The sequence below is a fragment of the Homo sapiens genome, chromosome 5, assembly GCF_000001405.40.
Source record: "Homo sapiens chromosome 5, GRCh38.p14 Primary Assembly".
Taxonomy (NCBI): Eukaryota; Metazoa; Chordata; class Mammalia; order Primates; family Hominidae; genus Homo; species Homo sapiens.
The window spans coordinates 70,559,097-70,581,457 of NC_000005.10; the positions used below are offsets into that span (position 1 = coordinate 70,559,097).

General features: G+C 35.9%; 1 pseudogene across 1 annotated transcript in view; it reads right to left on the reverse strand.

The window, feature by feature from the left end:
• The window catches only part of GUSBP15 (GUSB pseudogene 15), a 104,680-nt pseudogene that overhangs the window by 78,054 nt on the left and 4,265 nt on the right, over positions 1-22,361 (reverse strand). Inside the window, exon 2 of the transcript NR_034021.1 lies at positions 21,276-21,349. The product of NR_034021.1 is annotated as a GUSB pseudogene 15 (transcript). The remainder of the gene's footprint in view (positions 1-21,275; positions 21,350-22,361) is intronic.

The following is a 22,361-nucleotide window of genomic DNA, read 5'->3' on the forward strand; positions in this document are numbered from 1 at the left end:
AACTCTAGAAATAAATGTTAACCCAAGACAATAACAATTCAATTAATTTATATGATACCTTAGGGATTGTGTCAATTATTTTTTAAATGAAATTCAAAAAATTCAACACCTGTGTTTTCTCCTACGATTACAAATTCAACTAGGGCACAATTGTAAATGGTTGTATTTGGTTGAATTTTTAGATTGTTTATAAGTTTTACTCTTGCAGACAATAATAATGGAGTTTCTTTGAAAATAAATTTAGTTGTTCTATAACCAAGGCATAAATATTCAATTCAATAAAATTAGCAAAAATATTAAATGAAAAGTATATTATATATAAAATGCATAAATAAAATATCCTGCACTGATCATTTTATGTCTATGGTTACCCTACTGATTCTGTGCACATTTGCATATGGGTATATATGCAATTTTATACAATGAAGTATTAATAGTGTACATAAATTTAGTAATTATTTTACCCCTTAAAAGTATATGCAATGAGTGTCACTTATATATAAATTCTGTTAACGTGGAAGAAGAATGTTAGTCAAAAAAACTACGAATTTAACAATTTTCTGGTTAATTCAAAGGGCTTTCCAAAAATGTCTTTTAAAATTCAATTTCATTTATTTTCTCATAGCAGAATATGAGAATGAATCTTTTTTGCTGCAAATTGGCTAGCAATAAATTTTTATTTTTATTATTTTAATTCTGTGAATTTCGGGAATGGAGTCTCATTCAGTATAAATATTATAATACTAATGAGATTGACTCCCTCCTTCTTATTAACAGTGTGCATTTTTACCCTCCGTGATTCAGTGCATGGTGTAGTGCTATAATTAAAAATGAACATTTTTTTTTAAATTTTATTATTATTATATTTCAAGTTTTAGGGTACATGTGCACAATGTGCAGGTTAGTTACATATGTATACATGTGCCATGCTGGTGTGCTGCACCCATTAACTCGTCATTTAGCATTAGATATATCTCCTAATGCTTTCCCTCCCCCCTTCCCCCACCCCACAACAGTCCCCAGCGTGTGGTGTTCCCCTTCCTGTGTCCATGTGTTCTCATTGTTCAATTCCCACCTATGAGTGAGAACATCCGGTGTTTGGTTTTTTGTCCTTGCGATAGTTTACTGAGAATGATGATTTCCAATTTCATCCATGTCCCTACAAAGGACATGAACTCATCATTTTTTATGGCTGCATAGTATTGCATGGTGTATATGTGCCACATTTTCTTAATCCAGTCTATCACTGTTGGACATTTGGATTGGTTCCAAGTCTTTGCTGCCCAAGGTAATTTATAGATCCAATGCCATCCCCATCAAGCTACCAATGACTTTCTTCACAGAATTGGAAATAACTACTTTAAAGTTCGTATGGAACCAAAAAAGAGCCCGCGTTGCCAAGTCAATCCTAAGCCAAAAGAACAAAGCTGGAGGCATCACGCTACCTGACTTCAAACTATACTACAAGGCTACAGTAACCAAAACAGCACGGTACTGGTACCAAAACAGAGATATAGATCAATGGAACAGAACAGAGCCCTCAGAAATAACGCCGCATATCTACAACTATCTCATCTTTGACAAACCTGAGAAAAATAAGCAATGGGGAAAGGATTCCCTATTTAATAAATGGTGCTGGGAAAACTGGCTAGCCATATGGAGAAAGCTGAAACTGGATCCCTTCCTTACACCTTATACAAAAATTAATTCAAGATGGATTAAAGACTTAAACGTTAGACCTAAAACCATAAAAACCCTAGAAGAAAACCTACGCATTACCATTCAGGACACAGGCGTGGGCAAGGACTTCATGTCTAAAACACCAAAAGCAATGGCAACAAAAGCCAAAATTGACAAATGGGATCTAATTAAACTAAAGAGCTTCTGCACAGCAAAAGAAACTACCATCACAGTGAACAGGCAGCCTACAGAATGGGAGAAAATTTTCACAATCTACTCATCTGACAAAGGGCTAATATCCAGAATCTACAATGAACTCAAACAAATTTACAAGAAAAAAACAAACAACCCCATCAAAAAGTGGGCGAAGGACATGAACAGACACTTCTCAAAAGAAGATATTTATGCAGCCAAAAAACACATGAAGAAATGCTCACCATCACTGGCCATCAGAGAAAAACGAACATTTCAAAGATGTGCTTCCAAATGCCAAATCATCACTAAAAAGCTCTGTGGCATAGAGGAAATTTCACAACCTTTTAGTGCCTCAATTTTGTGGAAGAATGGTTAGGAGGCTATTGCAATAACAAAAGAAAATTTGAATAGCTGTATCCAACATGAAAAGATTGCTAGTAGAATTAAATGAGTTACTATAGGTAAAACAATCAGGGAAGTAATTAAAGAGAATCTGCACTAACATTGTTTTATTAATTTAAAATATCTGTACACAATCCTTTGACTCATTTGGAATTAGTTTTAGTGTATTTTAGAAAATAAGGTTTATTTTTTATTTTCTCCCAAAACAATTCTTCAAGACAACTTTTCGAACAGTAAATTCCTTCTTTGTTTATAATATGTATTTTAATAAAGTCACTTATCTTCATGATTTCTAGGACATCGGTTCTATCTAATCTACTGTTCAGCATTCGTCTGAGTATTTTCTGAGCAGCAATTAACCCCTCTGTACCTCTGAGTGCCCACATTTCCTTGATCCATTTCACCTTGCTGATCAATCCTTCTTTACTCATAGTCTAAATTTTTTTTTTAGAACTTCTGAGAGTGCCCCAAACCTTGGTCTTGGGTCTTCCTTCAATCTTATTTGTCTTTCCACCTGATCTTAATTATTTACATCACATTATACCCTATCTTTATGGTGACAAATCTCAAAATTATCTCTCTGACCTAAACTTATCATTAAAGATTTGGTTGCAACTTATTAAGAAGTCAGGTTCAATGTAATACATGCATTGTTGATTTAATAAGCTCATCAAAATACTTAAAATTTTATTTGAATGCAAAAAAATAAAGCTTTTAATTTTATCTCCTATTTAATAATTTTGACAAAAACATTATACCAATCATTACTAATTATTGCTGGCTTTTAAAATATTATCTGATTAAATATTTTTGACTTGGAAAAATGGTAACAAATGCTTCTCTCTTTCTTGTCCCCTTGAACCATACTTGATATTGCTTTTTCCAAATCCGGGCCACAAGTTCAGAATATAACCTGTTAAAATATCTTCTGTGTATAAACTATCTTTAAATTTTCTTGAGAGAATACTGAGTAACCAAAAGCATTGCTCCTTCACCCTACAAAAGAGAGAAAAATTAAAAAATCACATTAATTTGTAATTTTAAATGGTAATTAAAGCTATTGTGAGGGCTCTTTTATCGGCCAAACTTGTGAACAAAAAACAGCTCAAATTTATGTGTAAATAAAATATATTGAGATGAAGCCTTTCATTCAATGTGTGATTTTCAGTTCAAAAAAACACACTGATGTTCAAGAACAAAGACTGGTACAATAACTATCTACAAAATGCTTTTGTTACTAGATTTTAATTCCTTCATCAAACAGACACAGTCAAAGTTGATAGTGTCACTAGATCTAGAGGTCTATCAATATCCTTCCCACCATTTAATATGTTCTTAATCTCAGGGAAATTCTAAATCATATTCTTCTAAACTGTACAGTTGACTCCTGAAAAACACAAGGTTTAGGGCCATCAAACCTCCCTAACCCCTCCCCACCACCCCAGCACAGTCAAAAATTCACATATAACTTTGGACTCCCCAAAACTAAACTAACAGCCTACTGTTGACTGGACAATCCTTAACACATATTTCATACGCTGTATGTATTTTACACCGTAGTTTTACAATGAAGCTAGTTACAGAAAAGAAAGTGTTATTAAGAAAATTATAGGGAAGAAAAAATACGTTTACAGTACTACAGTATATTTATTTCTCTCATAAGTTTACAATCCTGTGTTTACAAGATGGATCCTTCTTCTGAAATGGCAGCACACACAGCTGCAGACCTCAATCTAGGGTACCTATCAAGCAATTCATTGTTTTCCTGTAATGTCAGGACCCTTCTCTGTTTCCTGGAAGAACTTTCAGCATCACTAGCAGCACTTTTTATAGGTCTGAAGGTGTTATTCAAGGTTTATGGTATTGCACTAGACATCATGAATAATACAGGAGAAACATGAGAGAACACTTTTTACTGTGTTAATTTACTGGAGAGACAAGCTACTCACAAGAAGATGATTAGCATTATGTGGCATTTTAAGTGAATACTCACAACACTTGAGTTCACTGCAAGAACAACAGGTGGAGGCTAGGAAATTATCCCAGTAGTACAGTATGTACTACAGTTAATTTTGTGCAGTTATGATTTACTTTTGTATATTTTTGTTTTACTTTTCTCTAAACTTCAATTGGCTGCATGTATGCTCTGTGTTTGCCTACGTCTTGATAAATTTTAACTTTTTATAATAGACGCATATATATTTCATTGTATTAAATGATCACTAGTATCTACATATGATTTATGCATTCATGACATCGTTTTCTTAGTTTTTTAATATTTCTTGTGTAGATGGGTCACCTGTTATCTTTTTCAATTTTTCATAAATCTCCAAAAATTTTCTAATATATTTATAGGAAAAAATCTACATATGAGCAGACCTGCACAGTTCAAACCTGTGTTGTTGAGGAGTCAACTATATATTATAATTTAAGAGAGGATTCAACTCTTTCATTCTACTGGCAATGGGTTAACATAAACTTTAGTCAGAACTGCTGAGCTTTTCTGGCACAATGAGGACAAATTGACCAATGTATTTAACCAATAGCTGGGGGAAAATTTTGCTAAAATTGGTAAGTATATCTTTATATAACTATATCCTTACAACTTGTCTCAACCTTCGTCAGATTAATCCTAACAAAACTGTAAAATGTCTCAGTAAAAATCTAAATGAATTTTTCATAACAAGTGCTGGCAATAGATTTTAAATATGTTCTGATCATTATTTGTCTCTTGTTGGCATGGAGAAAATCCTTTTTTTTTTTTTCAGCCTGGGGAATCCCAAACTATATCTCTAGTAACAAGGAAACCATTTTACCGGAATTTTTATTAACATGGAAAAGTTCTGTCAATTAATCAGACTTCACTGTCCATATCACTTTCAACCTTTTGGGAAGGTAGAAAGATGGAATTCTGAAACTAAAGTTGGTAAAGTTCACAGAGATCGTCAAACTTGCATGGTCTAAGGTATTTCTTCTTTCTGTGGTTCATGAGTTAGTAACAGCTAAACCAAGTGTCTAGGAATATTAGCTCTGATTCTAGAAATCTACACTTATTTAACTAAATGCTGTAAGGACTCAGGAAATCCATTCTTTCAACAAAAGTTACTGAAGACTTTCCCCATTAGTATCCTAAACAATGTCTGCAAAATTGGTTTTCATACCTGGATACCTTGTCTTCTAAGAGACACGGCAGGGAAAGATCATAGGAAAAAAGTCACTATCAGGCACAGCTAACAACTAGCAAACCCATAGTCTTTAAAAGACTGATCCTTTGATTCCTATCTCTCAAGTAAAGAGGTTTAGGTCATCTTCATATTACAGGAAAGTATCCCTACCAAAAACTTCTAACTAATGACTCTTAGGATTCTTCCAAAAGCAAATAGTCTTTGGGAGAAGACAGCTTCCATCAAATGCCTTTGGATCAAGTGAATCACTATATGAGATATCGGTATCTGCAAACCAAGATCCACAAAAAAAGATCCATTGTTTGTCATATTTAATCTGTATATCTTGAGTTTTCATTTTCCTAGTTAACTTTATCTTTTTATGCTTAAGGTTACATTTAATTATTTTACCTATAAAGCTACTATTCCTAATTCCTCTATGCCGTCCTTAGTCACTCTCTAGAAGAGTCCGGAAGCTGGCCGTAATTTGTTCACAATTTGGCTAAACATGCAGTTGAATCAGTGCTAAGCTGCACACATTTTCCTTAGGATGCCAATTAGAGTTTTTTTTTTTTTAACATCGATTCCTAAATATGAAACATCTGGGTTTATCAATAATTGGACTCACTATTTATTGTTATTTTATCTGACAAACAGCAGAGTATTAGATAAATAGAAATCTTAAATCCTAACATGCTGCACCCAGGAAAGAAAGCTTATGCCTACAGCAGAACAGCCCTTAGGGATCTTTAATAGAATGCAACTTCTGTCACTAAACCTTTAGAAAGAAACGTCTTAAAAAGAAGAGAACAAATGGCACATACTTAATTCATTTCTCACATTTACATATCATAAAAAATTCTTATTACATATTCAAGCTCCTATCACATCTACCTCTTCCTCTATGTGATAAGGTCTTCATTTTATATCCCCAAAAGTGATTAATAGCAGAATGGAGCTGAAAGCAATCAATAAACTCAATCAACCTTAATGACTGCTACTGGATTTGTGGTACCAGAACCTATTGATTATTACAGCAATCTTGACATAAACTAACATACTGATGTGGTAGTCAGAATAATGGCTCTTCAGAGATGATGGGGTCCTAATCCAGATAATTTATAAATTTGTTAGCTTACCTGGCAGGACAGACTTTGCAAATGCAATTAGAGTTAAGGATTTTGAAATGGAGAGACTATCATAGATTTTTAGATGGCCAAATGCAATCATAAGATTCTTTACACGTAGAAGAGGGAGATATAAAAGGAGAATGTGAAGACTTGCTCCTTCATTTGTAGCTTTGAAGGTCAAGGAAAGGAACTGTTATGAACTGAATATTTGTGTCTCCCTAAAATTAATCTATTGAAGATGATTGGCATTGTTCAAATATTAATAGATTATTTTCAATGATCTATTAATTGGCAGTGTGATAGTATCTGGAGATGGAGCTTTTGGGAGGAACCTAGGTTGAGATAATGTCCTAAGTGTGGTGTTCTCATGATAATGTTAGTGTTCTTATAAGAAAAGGTGGAGATACTAGACCACCTCCCACCCAACCACCCTTCTCTTTCTCTCTCCGTAAACATGTATCCAGGAAAGGCCATGTGAACACAGAGAGAAGGAGGCCATCTACTAACCAGAGAGGGAGTGGGCCCTCACCACGAACCAAATATACCAGCACCTTAATCTTGGACTTCCCAACTTTCAGAACTCTGAGAAATAAATGTCAGTTGTTTAAGTCACCCGGTCTATGGTATTTTCTTACAGTATTCCAAGCTGCCCAAGACAGGGAACATGCATCAAAGAATGCAGCTGGATTCTAAAGCCTGGGAAAGGCCAGGTCATGGATTATTCCACAGAGCCTATAGAAGGAATGCAGTCTTCCAATGCTTTGATTTTAAATCAGTAAGACCTGTGTTGAACTTCTAACCTGGAATACTGCTAGACCATAAATTTATGTTGTTTTAAACTACTAAGTGTATTGTGATTTTTATAACAGCCACAGGAAAATAATACATTTGGCAAATCAGTGCATGTTTCATGATGGTCAATGATATGCCCCAGGGTCCATCTTAGCCATGATTTCTATCCCTTCAAAAACCAAAACAAAATAAAAAAGTAAAACAAAAAGACCAATTTTACTATACTACTTGATTTTTAACAATATTTTATATGTATTTAATCCAGTATATCCAAAATATTGTCATCTCAGCATAAAACAATATTAAAATTATTCAGTTTTACATTTTTTAAACTAAATCTAGTTTGTATTTTACATATAGCATAAATCAATTCAAATCCACCATATTTCAAGTGTTCAATATCTACATGTCACTAGTAATGACTATAGTGGACAGAATTGATCCAGATTTCCAGGTGTATTGCTATAAAACTAACCATATTTTTATCTTATTAAAACAAAACAAAACTCCTCCATAACTATGTCTATGTTCCTTTTGCTTTTATTAACATTGAACATATTCTTGTTTTTAATCTAATTTTGTCTGTATTTAGGTCTATTTTTTGGTGGTGTTATTTCTTGTATGCTTGGCATCAACTTTTTTTTCAATTTCTTAGACTATCTAAACTATTATGCTCTGAGTTTAGCTCAATTTCAATCAGCTACTCACTTTGAAAGACTCATTTAACTCTCTTAAGCCATTCTCCACAAACATGAAAAATCTTCCTCTCACTCTTCCCTGCTGAAACACTGCAAAAGTATGTCAAAATGGTGTACTTTCTTGGCACAGGGTTTCAATAAACTTAGTTTTGCTTTAATAACAAATTATCTGAATATATTTCAGGGAGTTCCACTGGTAAAAGCATAAAATCATGTTAGTTCAGGTCATCTTTTGTAAAGTTATGACAGTGCCATAGTATCAATTCTTGTCAAAATTTATGACTTCAAAATCAACTTAATATGCATCAACATAGATATTTTTTAGTTAATTCTAGACTCCAGGTGCTCATTTAAATAATATGGGTACATAAGACTGAACAAAACCAGTTGCTATTGAATGTACATTTTAGAGAAATACTTCATACACAGCTGTGTTTTGTTAAATAAGGAACTTGATGACATAATCAATATCACGGCAGCATACAACTGTTTGGTTAGTATGTCTCTTTAAACAAGCACATATGCTCATTCATGGAGTGTGTATTTGTATCTGTGTATGGTCTGTGTGGTGAAGCAGCAAGCAACAGTTGGATGTCTTAATTATCTAACAGGAAAAAACACCTAAATAATCAGAAGAAATTTTGATTTATTTATTAGTTCGACTGAGCTTTTCTCTTGAATGTAACACAGATGGTCCCAGATTTACAATGGTACAACTTTACAGCTTCATCATGGTACAAAAGTGATAAACATTCAGTAGAAACAATGCTTTTATTACCCATATACCCATTCCGTTTTTCACATTCAGTATTTAATAATTTACATGTGATATTCAACACTTTATTTAAAAATAGGCTTTAGGTTAGATTTTTTTTTTGGACTGGCTAATGTAAGTGTTCTGAGCACATTTCTTAAGTGTATTTTTTTTTAATACTTTAAGTTCTAGGGCACATGTGCACAACTTGCAGGTTTGTTACATATGTATACATGTGCCATGTTGGTTTGCTGCACCCATTAACTCATTATCTACATTAGGTATTTCTCCTAATGCTATCCCTACCCATCCCCCCACCCCACAATAGGCCCCAGCATGTGATGTTACCCACTCTGTGTCCAAGTGTTCTCGTTGTTCAATTCCCACCTATGAGTGAGAACACACGGTGTTTGGTTCTCCGTCCTTGCGAAGGTTTGCTCAGAATGATGGTTTCCAGCTTCATCCACGTCACTACAAAGGACATGAACTCATCATTTTTTATGCCAGCATAGTATTCCATGGTGTATGTATGCCACATTTTCTTAATCCAGTCTATCATTGATGGACATTTCGGTTGGTTCCAAGTCTTTGCTATTGTGAAGAGTGCAGCAATAAACATACATGTGCATGTGTCTTTATAGCAGCATGATTTATAATGCTTTGGGTATATACCCAGTAATGGGATCACTGGGTCACATGGTATTTCTAGTTCTAGATACTTGAGGAATTGCCACACTGACTTCCACAATGGTTGAACTAGTTTACACTCCCACAAACAGTGTAAAAGCATTCCTATTTCTCCACATCCTCTCCAGCACCTGTTGTTTCCCGACTTTTTAATGATCGCCATTCTAACTGGTGTGAGATGCTATCTCATTGTGGTTTTGATTTGCATTTCTCTGATGACCAGTAATGATGAGCATTTTTTCATGTGTCTGTTGGCTGCATAAATGTCTTCTTTTGAAAAGTGTCTGTTCATATCCTTTGTCCACTTTTTGATGGCTTTGTTTTTTTCTTGTAAATTGGTTTAAGTTCTTTGTAGATTCTGGATATTAGCTATTTGTCAAATGGGTAGATTGGAAAAATTTTCTCCCATTCTGTAGGTTGCCTGTTCGCTCTGATGGTAGTTTCTTTTGCTGCGCAGAAGCTCTTTAGTTTAATTAGACCCCATTTGTCTATTTTGGCTTTTGTTGCCATTGCTTTTGGTGTTTTACACATGAAGTCCTTGCCCATGCCTATGTCCTGAATGGTATTGCCTAGGTTTTCTTCTAGGGTTTTTATGGTTTTAGGTCTAACATTTAAGTCTTTAATCCATCTTGAATTAATTTTTCTATAAGGTGAAGGAAGGGATCCAGTTTCAGCTTTCTACATATGGCTAGCCAGTACCATTTATTAAATAGGGAATCCTTTTCCCATTTCTTGTTTTTGTCAGGTTTGTCAAACATCAGATGGTTGTAAATGTTTAGCGTTATTTCTGAGGCCTCTGTTCCATTCCATTGGTCTATATCTCTGTTTTGGTACCAGTAAAATGCTGTTTTTGTTACTGTAGCCTTGTAGTATAGTTTGAAGTCAGGTAGCGTGATGCCTCCAGCTTTGTTCTTTTTGCTTAGGATTGTCTTGGCAATATGGGCTTTTTTTTGATTCCATATGAACTTTAGTTTTTTCCAATTCTGTGAAGAAAGTCATTGGTAGCTTGATGGGGATGGCATTGAATCTATAAATTACCTTGGGCAGTATGGCCATTTTCACGATATTGATTCTTCCTACCCATGAGCATGGAATGTTCTTCCATTTGTTTGTGTCCTCTTGTATTTCGTTGAGCAGTGGTTTGTAGTTTTCCTTAAAGAGGTCCTTCACATCCCTTGTAAGTTGGATTCCTAGGTATTTTATTCTCTTTGTAGCAACTGTGAATGGGAGTTCACTCATGATTTGGCTCTCTGATTGTCTGTTATTGGTGTATACAAATGCATGTGATTTTTGCACACTGATTTTGTAACCTGAGACTTTGCTGAAGTTGCTCATCAGCTTAAGGAGATTTTGGGCTGAGATGATGGGGTTTTCTAAATATACAATCATATCACCTGCAAACAGGGACAATTTGACTTCCTCTTTTCCTAATAGAATGCCCTTTATTTCTTTCTCTTGCCTGACTGCCCTGGCCAGAACTTCCAACACTATGTTGAATAGGAGTGGTGAGAGAGGGCATCACTGTCTTCTGCTAGTTTTCAAAGGGAAAGCTTCCAGTTTTTGCCCATTCAGTATGATACTGGCTGCGGGTTTGTCATATATAGCTCTTATTATTTTGAGATATGTTCCATCAATACCTAGTTCATTGAGAGTTTTCAGCATGAAGGGCTATTGAATTTTGTCAAAGACCTTTTCCGCATCTATTGAGATAATCTTGTGGTTTTTGTCTTTGGTTCTCTTTATGTGATGGATTACATCTATTGACTTGCGTATGTTGAACCAGTCTTGCATCCCATGGATGAAGCCAACTTGATCTTGGTGGATAAGCTTTTTGATGTGCTGCTGGACTCGGTTTGCCAGTATTTTTGTTAAATGTACTAAATGCATTTTTTACCTAAAATATTTTCAACTTATGAGTATATCCAGATCCATCATAACACATCTTGGCCTGTGGTTATCAGGATATAACTCATTATAAGTCGAGGTAGATTTGTATTATATCCCATGTACACACACACACACACACACACACACACACACACACACACACACACACACACAGACTTAATCTGTTTACAGAAATAAAAGGAATAAAATACCGTTTCTATTATACACCAAAACTAGCCATCTTGACAGATACTTCACTCTGAAAAATAACGTTTTATAGCTACTTTACAGATTAGTATAATAATTTGGTGTTTCTGTTTCAGAGATTCGATTTCACATTTCAATAAGTAGGCCGCTCCCTCTGCTAAGCCTGGGAATGTAATTCTTTTGAAAAACTATCTGTGCTGTAAAATTACATGTCATATTGGGAAAAGGACAATCGCAAACAGTAGTCACACATAAAATCAAGCAACACAGACATCCTTTTCACATACAGTGAAGACCCTTGTCAATTTTGAGATTACACAGGAAAACAGAATGGGGGACAAGTGTCTCTGACACATAGAAAATCCCGTGAAGAAGAACTCAGCTGACACAATCAAAACATACACAAAACTGAAAGAAACAAGGTGAGTGCTTTTTATATTAGTTCAGCTGTCAAGAAAGTGTAAAATAAACCTAACATTTTTTTACTAAGTGAGGATTTTCTTTTTTGAAACATCATCATTTATATTTATCCAGTTTGCAACTTCATCAGCTGAATCTCAGGATGTGTTCCATGACACTGAAGGACAATTAAATCATATCCATGACAATATATGAGAAGCTGACAGGAGAACATGGTGGCATTTGAATTAATGTCTATCATTAGATAGAATTTCTGATCACATAATTTAAGTTGTAGTTTTCCATACAATTTAATCAAGATAAGCACTTATTAGGTGAGTGATATACTTTGGCTCTGTGTCCCCACACAAATCTCATGTTGAATCGTAATCCCCACGTGTCAGGGGAGGGGTCTGGTAGGAGGTGATTTGATCATGGGGGTGGATTTCCCATACTGTTCTCGTGACAGTCAGTGAGTTCTCACAAGATCTGATGGTTTAAAAGTGTGTGGAACTTCCCCCCGGCTCTTCTCTCTACTGACACCATGTGAAGAAGGCACCTGCTCCCCCTTTACCTTCTGCCATGATTGTTAGTTTCCTGAGGCCTCCCAGTCGTGCTTCCTGTTAAGCTTGCAGAACTGTGAGTCAATTAAACCTCTTTTCCTCATAAATTACCCAGTAGTTCTTTATAGCAGTTTGAGAAGAGATAGATACAGAAAATTGGTACCAGAGAAGTGGGGCATTGCTATAAAAATACCTGAAAATATGGAAGTAACTTTGGAACTGGGTAACAGGCAGAGGTAGGAAACAGTTTGGAGGACTCAGAAGAAGACAGGGAGATATGGGAAAGTTTAAATCTTCCTAGAGACCTGTTGAATGGTTGTGAACAAAATGCTGATAATGATTTGGATAATGAAGTCCAGGCTGAGGGGGTCTCAGATGGAGATGAGGAACTCATTGAGAACTGAAGAAAAAGTTACTCTTGCTATGCTTTAGCAAAGAGACTGACAGCCTTTTGACCCGGCCCTAGAGATCTGTGTAATGTTGAACTTCAGAGAGATGATTTAGGGTATCTGGTGAAACAAATTTCTAAGCAACAGACCTTCCAACATGTGGCCTGGCTGCTTCTAAAAGTTTATGCTCATGTCCATGAAGAAAGAGATGGCTTGAAACTGAAACGTATATTTAAAAGGAAAGCAGACCATAAAAGTTTGGAAAATTTGCAGCCTAACCATATAGTAAAAAAGAAAAACCCACGCTCTTGGGAGAAATTCAAGCAAAAATTTGCATAAGTAAAGAGGAGCCAAATGTTAATGGCAAAGACAATGTGGAATACGTCTCCAGTACATTTCAGAGACCTTTGAGGCAGCCCCTCCCATTATAAGCCTGGAGGCCTAGGAGGGAGAAATTGTTTAGTGGGATGGGCCCAGGGCCCTGCTGCTCTGGGCAGCCTCGGGACATGGTGCCCAGTGTTCCAGCTGCTCAGCTCCAACTGTGGCTAAAAGGGTCCAAGGCACTACTCAGGCCATTGCTTCAGAGAATACAAGCCTCAAGCTTTGGTGGCTTCCACATGAGGCTGGGCCTGTGGTTGTGCAGAAGGGAAGAGGTGAGGTTTGGGAACCTCCATCTAGATTTCAGAGGATGTATGGAAATGCCTGGATGTCTAGGCAAAAGTCTGCTGCAGAAGTGGAGCCCTTATGGAGAACCTCTACTAGGGCAGTGCAGAGGGAAAATGTGGGGTTGGAGCCCCCACACAGATTCCCCACTGGGGCACTCCCTACTGGAGCTTTGAGAAGAGGGTCATAGTGCTTCAGACCCCAGAATGGTAGATCCACTGACAGCTTGCACAGTGTGCCTGGAAAAGTCACAGGCACTCAATCCTAGCCTGTGAAAGCAGCTGTGGGGGCTGTGCCTTGCAGAGCCACAGAGGCAGAGCTGTCAAAGCTCATGGGAGCCCAGATATTGCATCAGTATGCTCTGGACGTGAGAGATGAGGTCAAAGAAGATTGTTTCAGAGCCTTAAGATTTAATGACTGCCTTGTCGGGTTTTGGACTTGCATGGGGCCTGCAGACCCTTTGTTTTGGCTAATTTCTCCCTTATGGAATTGGAGTGTTTATCTGATCCCTGTACCCCCACTGTTGTCTTGAAATTAACTAACTTGTTTTTGATTTTACAGGCTTATAGGCAGAAGCGATTTGCCTTGTCTCAGATGAAACTTTGGACATGGACTTTTGAGTTAATGCTGGAATAAGTTAAGACTTCCAGTCTGTTGGGAAGGCATGATTGGTTTTGAAATGTGAGAAGGACATGATACTTGGGAGGGGCCAGAGGAGAAATAATATGGCTTGGCCCTCTGTCCCCACCCAAATCTCATCTCAAATTGTAATCCTCTCATGTCAAGAGAGGGGCCTGGGTGGAGGTGACTGGATCATGGGAGCAGATTTCCACATGCTATTCTCATGATAGTGAGTGAGTTCCAAGAGATCTGATGGTTTAAAAGTGTGTGGCACTTCCCTCCTTGTGCTCTCTCTCTCCTGGTGCCATGTCAAGAAGAACCTTGTTTCCCCTTTGCCTTCCACCATGATTTTCTGAGTTTCCTGAGTCCTCCCATTCATGCTTCCTGTAAAGCCTGAAGAACTATGAATCAATTAAATCTCTTTTCTTCATAAATTACTCAGTCTCAAGTCATTCTTTATATCATTGTGAAAACTGACTACTACGGTTAGCAATCTTAAAGAATACTTGTGATTTTGAGAATCAGGCACATATTTTTTTAATAATCGGACTGCTTACAATTGTTTAACTCCTTGCAACTTATAGTTAGTGCCTAAAACTTTGATGACTTTCATTACATTTCAATGGCTCTGTTCCCTTATAGCAAACTACCTTTTTTACTGTACTTACTGTAACTACAGTGCATTTATTTTCAGCCCAAATAGTATTCAGTAATAAGCATTTCTTCCCACATAAGAATAAGTTATATTCCTATTCACTATATTCTAGAATTTCTATTTTCCTTCCACAGTGCCAGCTAAAATTAAAGTGGAATAATCTATTGGGGCCCTGTGTATTTAATGTTTGTTTTCTTAGTATATTATAAACACTGTGAAGGAAGGAAATCCTTGCCTCTTGTTTATACTTTTATCTCCATTATAGAAACACTCTGCATTATTTTCTTACTGCTGCTGTAGCCAATTACTACAAAGTTAGTGGTTTAAAATAGCACAAATATAGTGTCAAACAATTGTGTTTCTCAGATGTCTGCAATGCATCTTATGAGGCTAAAATCAAAGAGTGAGAACTGTTGTGTTCCTTTCTGAAGGTTTTAGGGGAAAATCAGTTTCCTTGACTTTTCCAGCCTCCAGAGGCTGTCCTGATTTGTTAGCTTATGGTCTTTCATTTGTTCAAACCAGAAATGCTGTGTCTCTCTGACCATTCTTTTGAAATCATACCACCTTATGTTTCTAGCCAAGAATGTTTCCCTAGTTTAAACCCATTTGATTACACTGAACTCAAAAGGACACTTTTTCATCTTACCATCCTTAACATTATAATACTTGCAAAGCCCCTTTTACCAGATAGTTAACATATTCACAGCTTCCAGAAATCAGGACATGCGTTTTTTTTTTGTTGGTTTGTTTGTTTTGTAAACCATTATTTTGCTTACTATACTGTCTTAATTGGAGGAAGCAACTTCTTCGAATAGGTGAATTAATTTCAAATTGATAATGTGATTCTGAATGAACATTAAAGAAATCAACTATTACACCGAACATTACTTTATTGAGCTAAACAAATATTAACTGACTATATAAAATTCATTACACATTTGGAGATAGAATTTTGTACTCTTTAATAAGACTTTTTACATTTTTTGCAATCCTTTTTCTTATTTAAAAAATCAGTACTGTATTAGTACCCACAATATAAGTTTGTTCTAAGAATCAAATGAGATAAACATTTCAGACACCTATCATAGTATCAAGTTCATATCGTAAGCCTAAAATACCAGATGACTTTTATTATTTTCAGAATGTAGTCAAAATCAACATAAAGTTACATTAACACTTGGTTTACTGTATCATAATGCTAGCTTTGTGTCATATCTATCTAGAGAGTACACTGAATAGCTTAAACCAAGTAGAAGGTGATTTCTTGCTTACATAACAGTTTACCATAAGTAATTTTGGCTAAAGACGCATCTTTCCTGCAAAAAATAATTCAAGTTAACGAAGGATCTACTATTACCAAATTGTATCTTCCCAGATTACTTTGTATATATCACCATTCCAGAAGACAAAAGACTACTCATGAAATACAATTTGCACACTTCTTTATATATGAAAAATTCACTTCTCTTCCCTCTGTAAACAACTTAAAGTTTTGCCCAGTTACTGCCTACAACTTAGAGTTCAGGATGTTTCATGACGTGCAGTTCTCTCCCTCAGGCCACTATATGACTTAACGAGGACTAGTGTCCTATAAAGTCAAAAGACAAATTATCTGTAAAATCTAAGTTACCATGGTGAAGCTCCTATCAGAAGACAAAGAAGTCTGCAGAGCACTGACAAAAATATTTCTGAGCAGTACAAATATTTATTTGATGAAACCATAAACATGTCCTGTGGAAATAACTTTAAGGTCCATTGTCCCTGTGGCTCATAGATTTACTTTCTGAGGTAATTTACATTTTCTCTTATTCTCCATGCCTCCATCTTAAATTAGAACAATGAGTGTTTTCTCAGCATGACTAATCAATTGCACTGATTAGTGCAATTTGGGATGCTTGAGGATATTTTAAGCCTTAATTTTTTTTTCTCACAATAGGCTTATTGTACCTTTGCCAAGTAGTTACGTGGAAACCATTTATTTATTTATTGGATCTAGTTTATAACCAAACATACAGTTCTTTCCTAGGTATAATTCTAAAGTCTGCCTCATTTCCTTCTTTTTTCTCCTCCCCAACACACATATGCTTCTCTGACTGTAAAGATGACCACTTTAAGGTCATTTGAAATCATAGACTTGAAAGAGAAAACAACTTCCCTGATGAGTTCTTTGCTTCAGGGCTGGGTTCCTTGTTTTTTATGAACACAGTAGGATTTAATTTCTGAGCAGCTTTTTCAACCTAATCAGAAAAACCTGAGCTTTTCTGTCACTGTATAATTCCACCATTACTAGACTTTTTGTTTACAAGTGGTTTCCAACAAGGAATGACTTTGTTTCCATAGAACACTTGTCAGTGTCTGGAGACATTTTGAATTATAATGATTAGGTGGTGATGCTACTGGTATGTGGTGGTATAGCCTAAAGATACTATTAATATCCTACAATGCAAAGAATAACCTCCCACAGAATGCAGGAATATCAGGCATAAAATGTCAATAATGCTAAGGTTTAGCAACTCAACTCTATCCACTTTCTTTCCACTCTAAAGACAGGATATTTCTTTTTTCTTTTTTTTTTTTTTTTTTTTTTGCCTGTGTTTATCTATTTCTTGGATTATGGAACAGAACAAACATGAACACATTACCTTTTGCCTTTCCTCATTTCCCACACTCTTTCCTAGAGGTAATATTAAGCTTCCAATTAATTTTAGATGGTAGTTTCAATAATTTTTTTTCACTGGGTATTACAAGTCTTCATTTCAACCCTCTGAGTTTGGTTTACTTGTCCATTTAATACTAATTTAGTGGATACGTTTTAGGTGCTGTTATGGCAGACCCAACTCAAGCTGGTGATTTCTATATTACTTGGAATCGTGCTAGTTGCTTTGACAACTACACTCAACAACATATAATATCTTAAACAGAACAGAAGTTTCATTCATATAAACTGTTTTTTTAAGATAGGAAAAGCATTGCTCCTTTATGTCCGCATTCAAGAACATAGGCTACTAAGGTATTTAATCTGCAGTATGTTGCTTCCAAGACTACTGTAGAATTGGCCGTTCCAGTCAAGCATACTGAAAAACGTATACAGAAGAGTGCATGTTGGGATTTTGGAGACTAAATTGGATATAAAATATGTTATTTCTACTAATTTTCCACTATTTTGACTTTAATCCCATGCCCTAATATAAAGTATATAAGAATGAGAAACATAGTTTATGTATCTATCAAAATAGAACATAAATGTTTGTGAACATTTGAATCTGTCAGCTTCTCTTGCTCACGTGCCTGTAGTGCCTGTACTCAGGATGCTGAGGCAGGAGAATCGCTTGAACCCAGGAGGTGGAGGTTGCAGTGAGCTGAGGTCACACCACTGCACTCCAGCCTGGGCAACAGAGCGAGACTCCATCTCAAAAAAAAAAAGAAGTGACTCAACTGATTGATGTGTAAAACCTCATTGTAAAATAATGTTCTATAAATGAGACATTAATACAGTTAAATTTTTGGATTAAAAAAGTCTGCCACTTTGTGAATATGTTTTATTTAGGCTTGATTTAGTTAATTTTCTTTTTTCTTTTTCTTTTTCTTTTTTTTTTTTTTTTTTTCTGAGGAGTTTCACTGTTGCTGCCCAGGCTGCAGCGCAGTGCTGGGATCTCGGTTCACTGCATCCTCCACCCCGCCAGTTCAAGTGATTCTCCTGCCTTAGCCTCCTGAGTAGCTGGGATTACAGGCACCCACCCACCACCATACCCGGCCAATTTTTTGTGTTCTTAGTACACATGGGGTTTCACCATGTTGGCCAGGATGGTCTCGAACTTCAGACCTCAGGTGATCCACCCACCTTGGCCTCCCAAAGTGCTGGGATTACAGGCATGAGCCACCGCACCCAGCCAGTTAATTTTTCTATTAACTAAGACCTAATTAAGATTGAGGCAGAAGAAATGGGTCCTTGGGATTTGAAAATTACTATTCAATTTGGAAGTTTAATTTGCAACATAGATTGTCTGTTATTAAATTACTAGATATAATATCACAAAGGTGGAAAGAAAGGTTGCTTAGTTAAAGATCTAAGTTACTAGTCATGGTGTCAGATATAGAGAATGATTGAAGGTTATCAGAGTCACACACCAGATGAGTAAATTGTTGTTTTCAAGGAAGAGGTTACATAAAGGTAAGCGGAGTAATATTTCAGCATTTTTGTTAATTAAAAATTTGTAAAGTTATTTCCATTTCAAGGAAATTACTCTCAGTAATTTTACGGGTAAAATGACAAATTCCAAGTTTAATTTTCACATGTAACACCCTCCTTGAGCACTTATTTTTATAAAGCTATTAATCTATTTTGGTCTCAATTTACCTTTCTTTAAAGAGATTTTAAAATTTTCTGAAAGAAGTTGACATCTGGAAGTGTAGCTGTTATATTTTTCAATTTTTAATTACATATTTAATTATCCTTTAATTACTTAAGGTTATTCTCAAAAGTGAAGAGATAGCTGGGATCACACTGCGTAAGATTTTACTCCTGAATGTAATATTCAAAAATGTTACAAAGTCTATCAAAGAGGTTTTCATTCTGTGACAATACATGGTCAATTTGACATGGTCAGGAAGCACCACCCCCACTGAGAGATACCAAATTATGGAGTAAACCACCGTAATTTAGGCAGATCTTGAGAGAGAAAATGCTGAGTGGATGCAGAGGCAGCAATGAAGCTGAGCTGAAGAGGGAGGAAGCCTGTGCAGGGAACCCAAACACTACAGCTAGTTCCCCAGAATGGCTCCTAGGAAAGGGCCTCTGCCTGAGAGAGACCTGTGGCCTAGAACACCTAACACAAGAAACACAGTGATTGCAGGAGACTCCCCCAGGGCCCAGGAGCACATCTGGTGATGGAGGCATCTCTCCCACCCCCACTATAGAGCACACCTGCAAACAAAAGGAAGTATAAAACAGCCATGCCACTGGGTATTAGGCTAGCCACTGGCCATCACTCTTAAGCACTATGCATTGGATCACATCCCAAACTACAACATCAAAATTTATCCTGCTACATATACACCTGTGAAACCAAACACCAGAATTACTCATACATAAAAATCCTGGACAGAGAAAGCCCTGACCCTTTGAAAGCATCCAGAAACAAAACCAATTGCCTATACTCAACATACACTACAGTTAAAGGAACACTAACCCTACCAGAAGAGAAAAAATCAGTGCAAGAACTCTGGCAATTCAAAAAGCTAGAGTGTCCTCTTACCTCAAAATTAGCCCACTAGCTACCAAGCAATGGTTCTTAATCAGTCTAAAATAATTGCAACAGACATAGAATACAGAACCTCGATGGCAGGGAAGCTCATGAACATTAAGGAGAAAGTTGAAACCCTAGCCAAGTAATCCAGTAAAGCAATCTAAGTAAGTGCTGAAAGATGAAATTGCCATTTTAAAGAACAGCCACACTGAATTTCTAGAGCAGAAAAAATTCAGTATAAGAATTTTATAATACAATAAGAAATATTAACAGAAGGTAGGCCAAGCTAAGGAAAGAATCTCAGAGCTCAAAGACTGGTTCGTTGAATCAACTGAGTCAAAAGAAAATTTTAAAAAAGAATTAAAAAAAGAAAATGAACCAAAGCTTTAAGAAATATGGAATTATATAAAGAGACCAAATCTACGACTCATTGTCATTCCTAGAAGAGAAACAAAGAGAAAAGGCAACTTGGAAAATAGATTTGAGAATAGAGTCTATGAAAATCTTCCTAACCTCGCTAGAGAGAGTGACATGTAAATCCAAAAAATACAGCAAACCCAGCTAGGCACTACAAAAGGTGACTATCCCTAAGGCACACAGTCATCATATTCACCAAAGTAAATACAAAAGAAAAAAAAAATCTTAAAGGCAGCTAGAGAGAAAGGTCATGTTTTCATAAAGCAAGAACTCCACTAGGCTAGTAGTAAATATCTCAGCAAAAACCTTACAAGCCAGAAGAGATTAAGGGCCTATGTCCAACATCATTAATGAAAATAAATTCCAGGCAATAATTTTATATTTCACTAAACTAAACTTCCTAAGTGAAGAAGAAACAAATTTCTCCTCAGATAAGCAAATACTGAGGGAATCAATTTCAACTTGACCAGCCTTATGAAAGGTCCTTAAGGGAGTGCTATACATTGAGTAAAAAGAATGACACCTGCTACCACAAAAACCCACTGAAGTACATAGCTCACAGGCACTATAAAGTATCTACACAATCAAGTCTACCTAAAAACCAGCTACAAACGTGATGATAGGATCAAAATCTCATGTATCAACATTAACCATAAATGTAAATAGGCTAAACACCCCCACTTAAATGACATACAATGGCAAACTGGATAAAAATGCAAGGCTCACCATCTGTAGTCTTCAAGAGACTCATCTCATATGTAATGACAGCCACTGGCCCAAAATAAGGGGATGGAGAAAATCTGCCATGCAAATGATAACAAAAAAGCAGGAGTAACTATTCTTATATCAGATAAAACAGACTTTAATCAAAATTAAAAAGAACAATTGAAGAATGAAGAGCATTACGTCATGAGAAAGTATATGATCAAACAAGAATACTTAAGTACCCTAAATATAAATGCACCCAACATGGAGCACCCAGATTCATAAAACAAGTTCTTTTTGGACTACAAAAAGACAGACGACCACCCAATAACTGTAGGAGACTTCAACACCCCCGCTGGCAGCACTGGATCATCAAAGCAGATAACCAAGAAAGAAACTGTGTACTTAAACTTCACACTTGACCATTTGGACCTAATAAGACATCTACAGAACACTCCACTCAATAACCACAGAATATACATTCTTCTCATCTGCACAGGGAACATATTCTAACATTGACCACATGCTTGGTCATAAAGCAAGTCTGGATAAATTTTAAAAAATGAAATCATATCAAGCACACTCTTAGATCTCAATGTAATCAAAATATAAATAAATATCAACATCTCTCAACACTACACAAATAGATGAAAATTAAACAACTTTCTCCTGAATAACTTCTGTGTGAAAATCAAAATTAAGGGAGAAATTTTAAGAAAGTGAAATTAATGAAAATGGGAACACAAATTACCAAAATCTCTGGGATGCAGCTAAATCAGTGTTAAGAGGAACGTTTAAATGCCTTTATCATAAAGTTAGAAATACTTCAAATTAACAATCTAACACTACACCTAAAGGAACTAGGGAAGAAAAAAAAAAGAACAACCCTACATCAACGCTAGGAATGAAAAGAAACAACTAAAATAGAGAAGATCTGAATGAAATTGAGATGCAAAAATCCATACAAAAGATTAATGAAACCAAGAGTTGATTTAAAAAAAGAGATTGATAGACCTTTAGCTAGATAAACAAAGAAAAAAAAGAGAAGATCTAAATATATAAATCAGAATGACAAAAACGACATTAAAAATGGTCCCACAGACATAC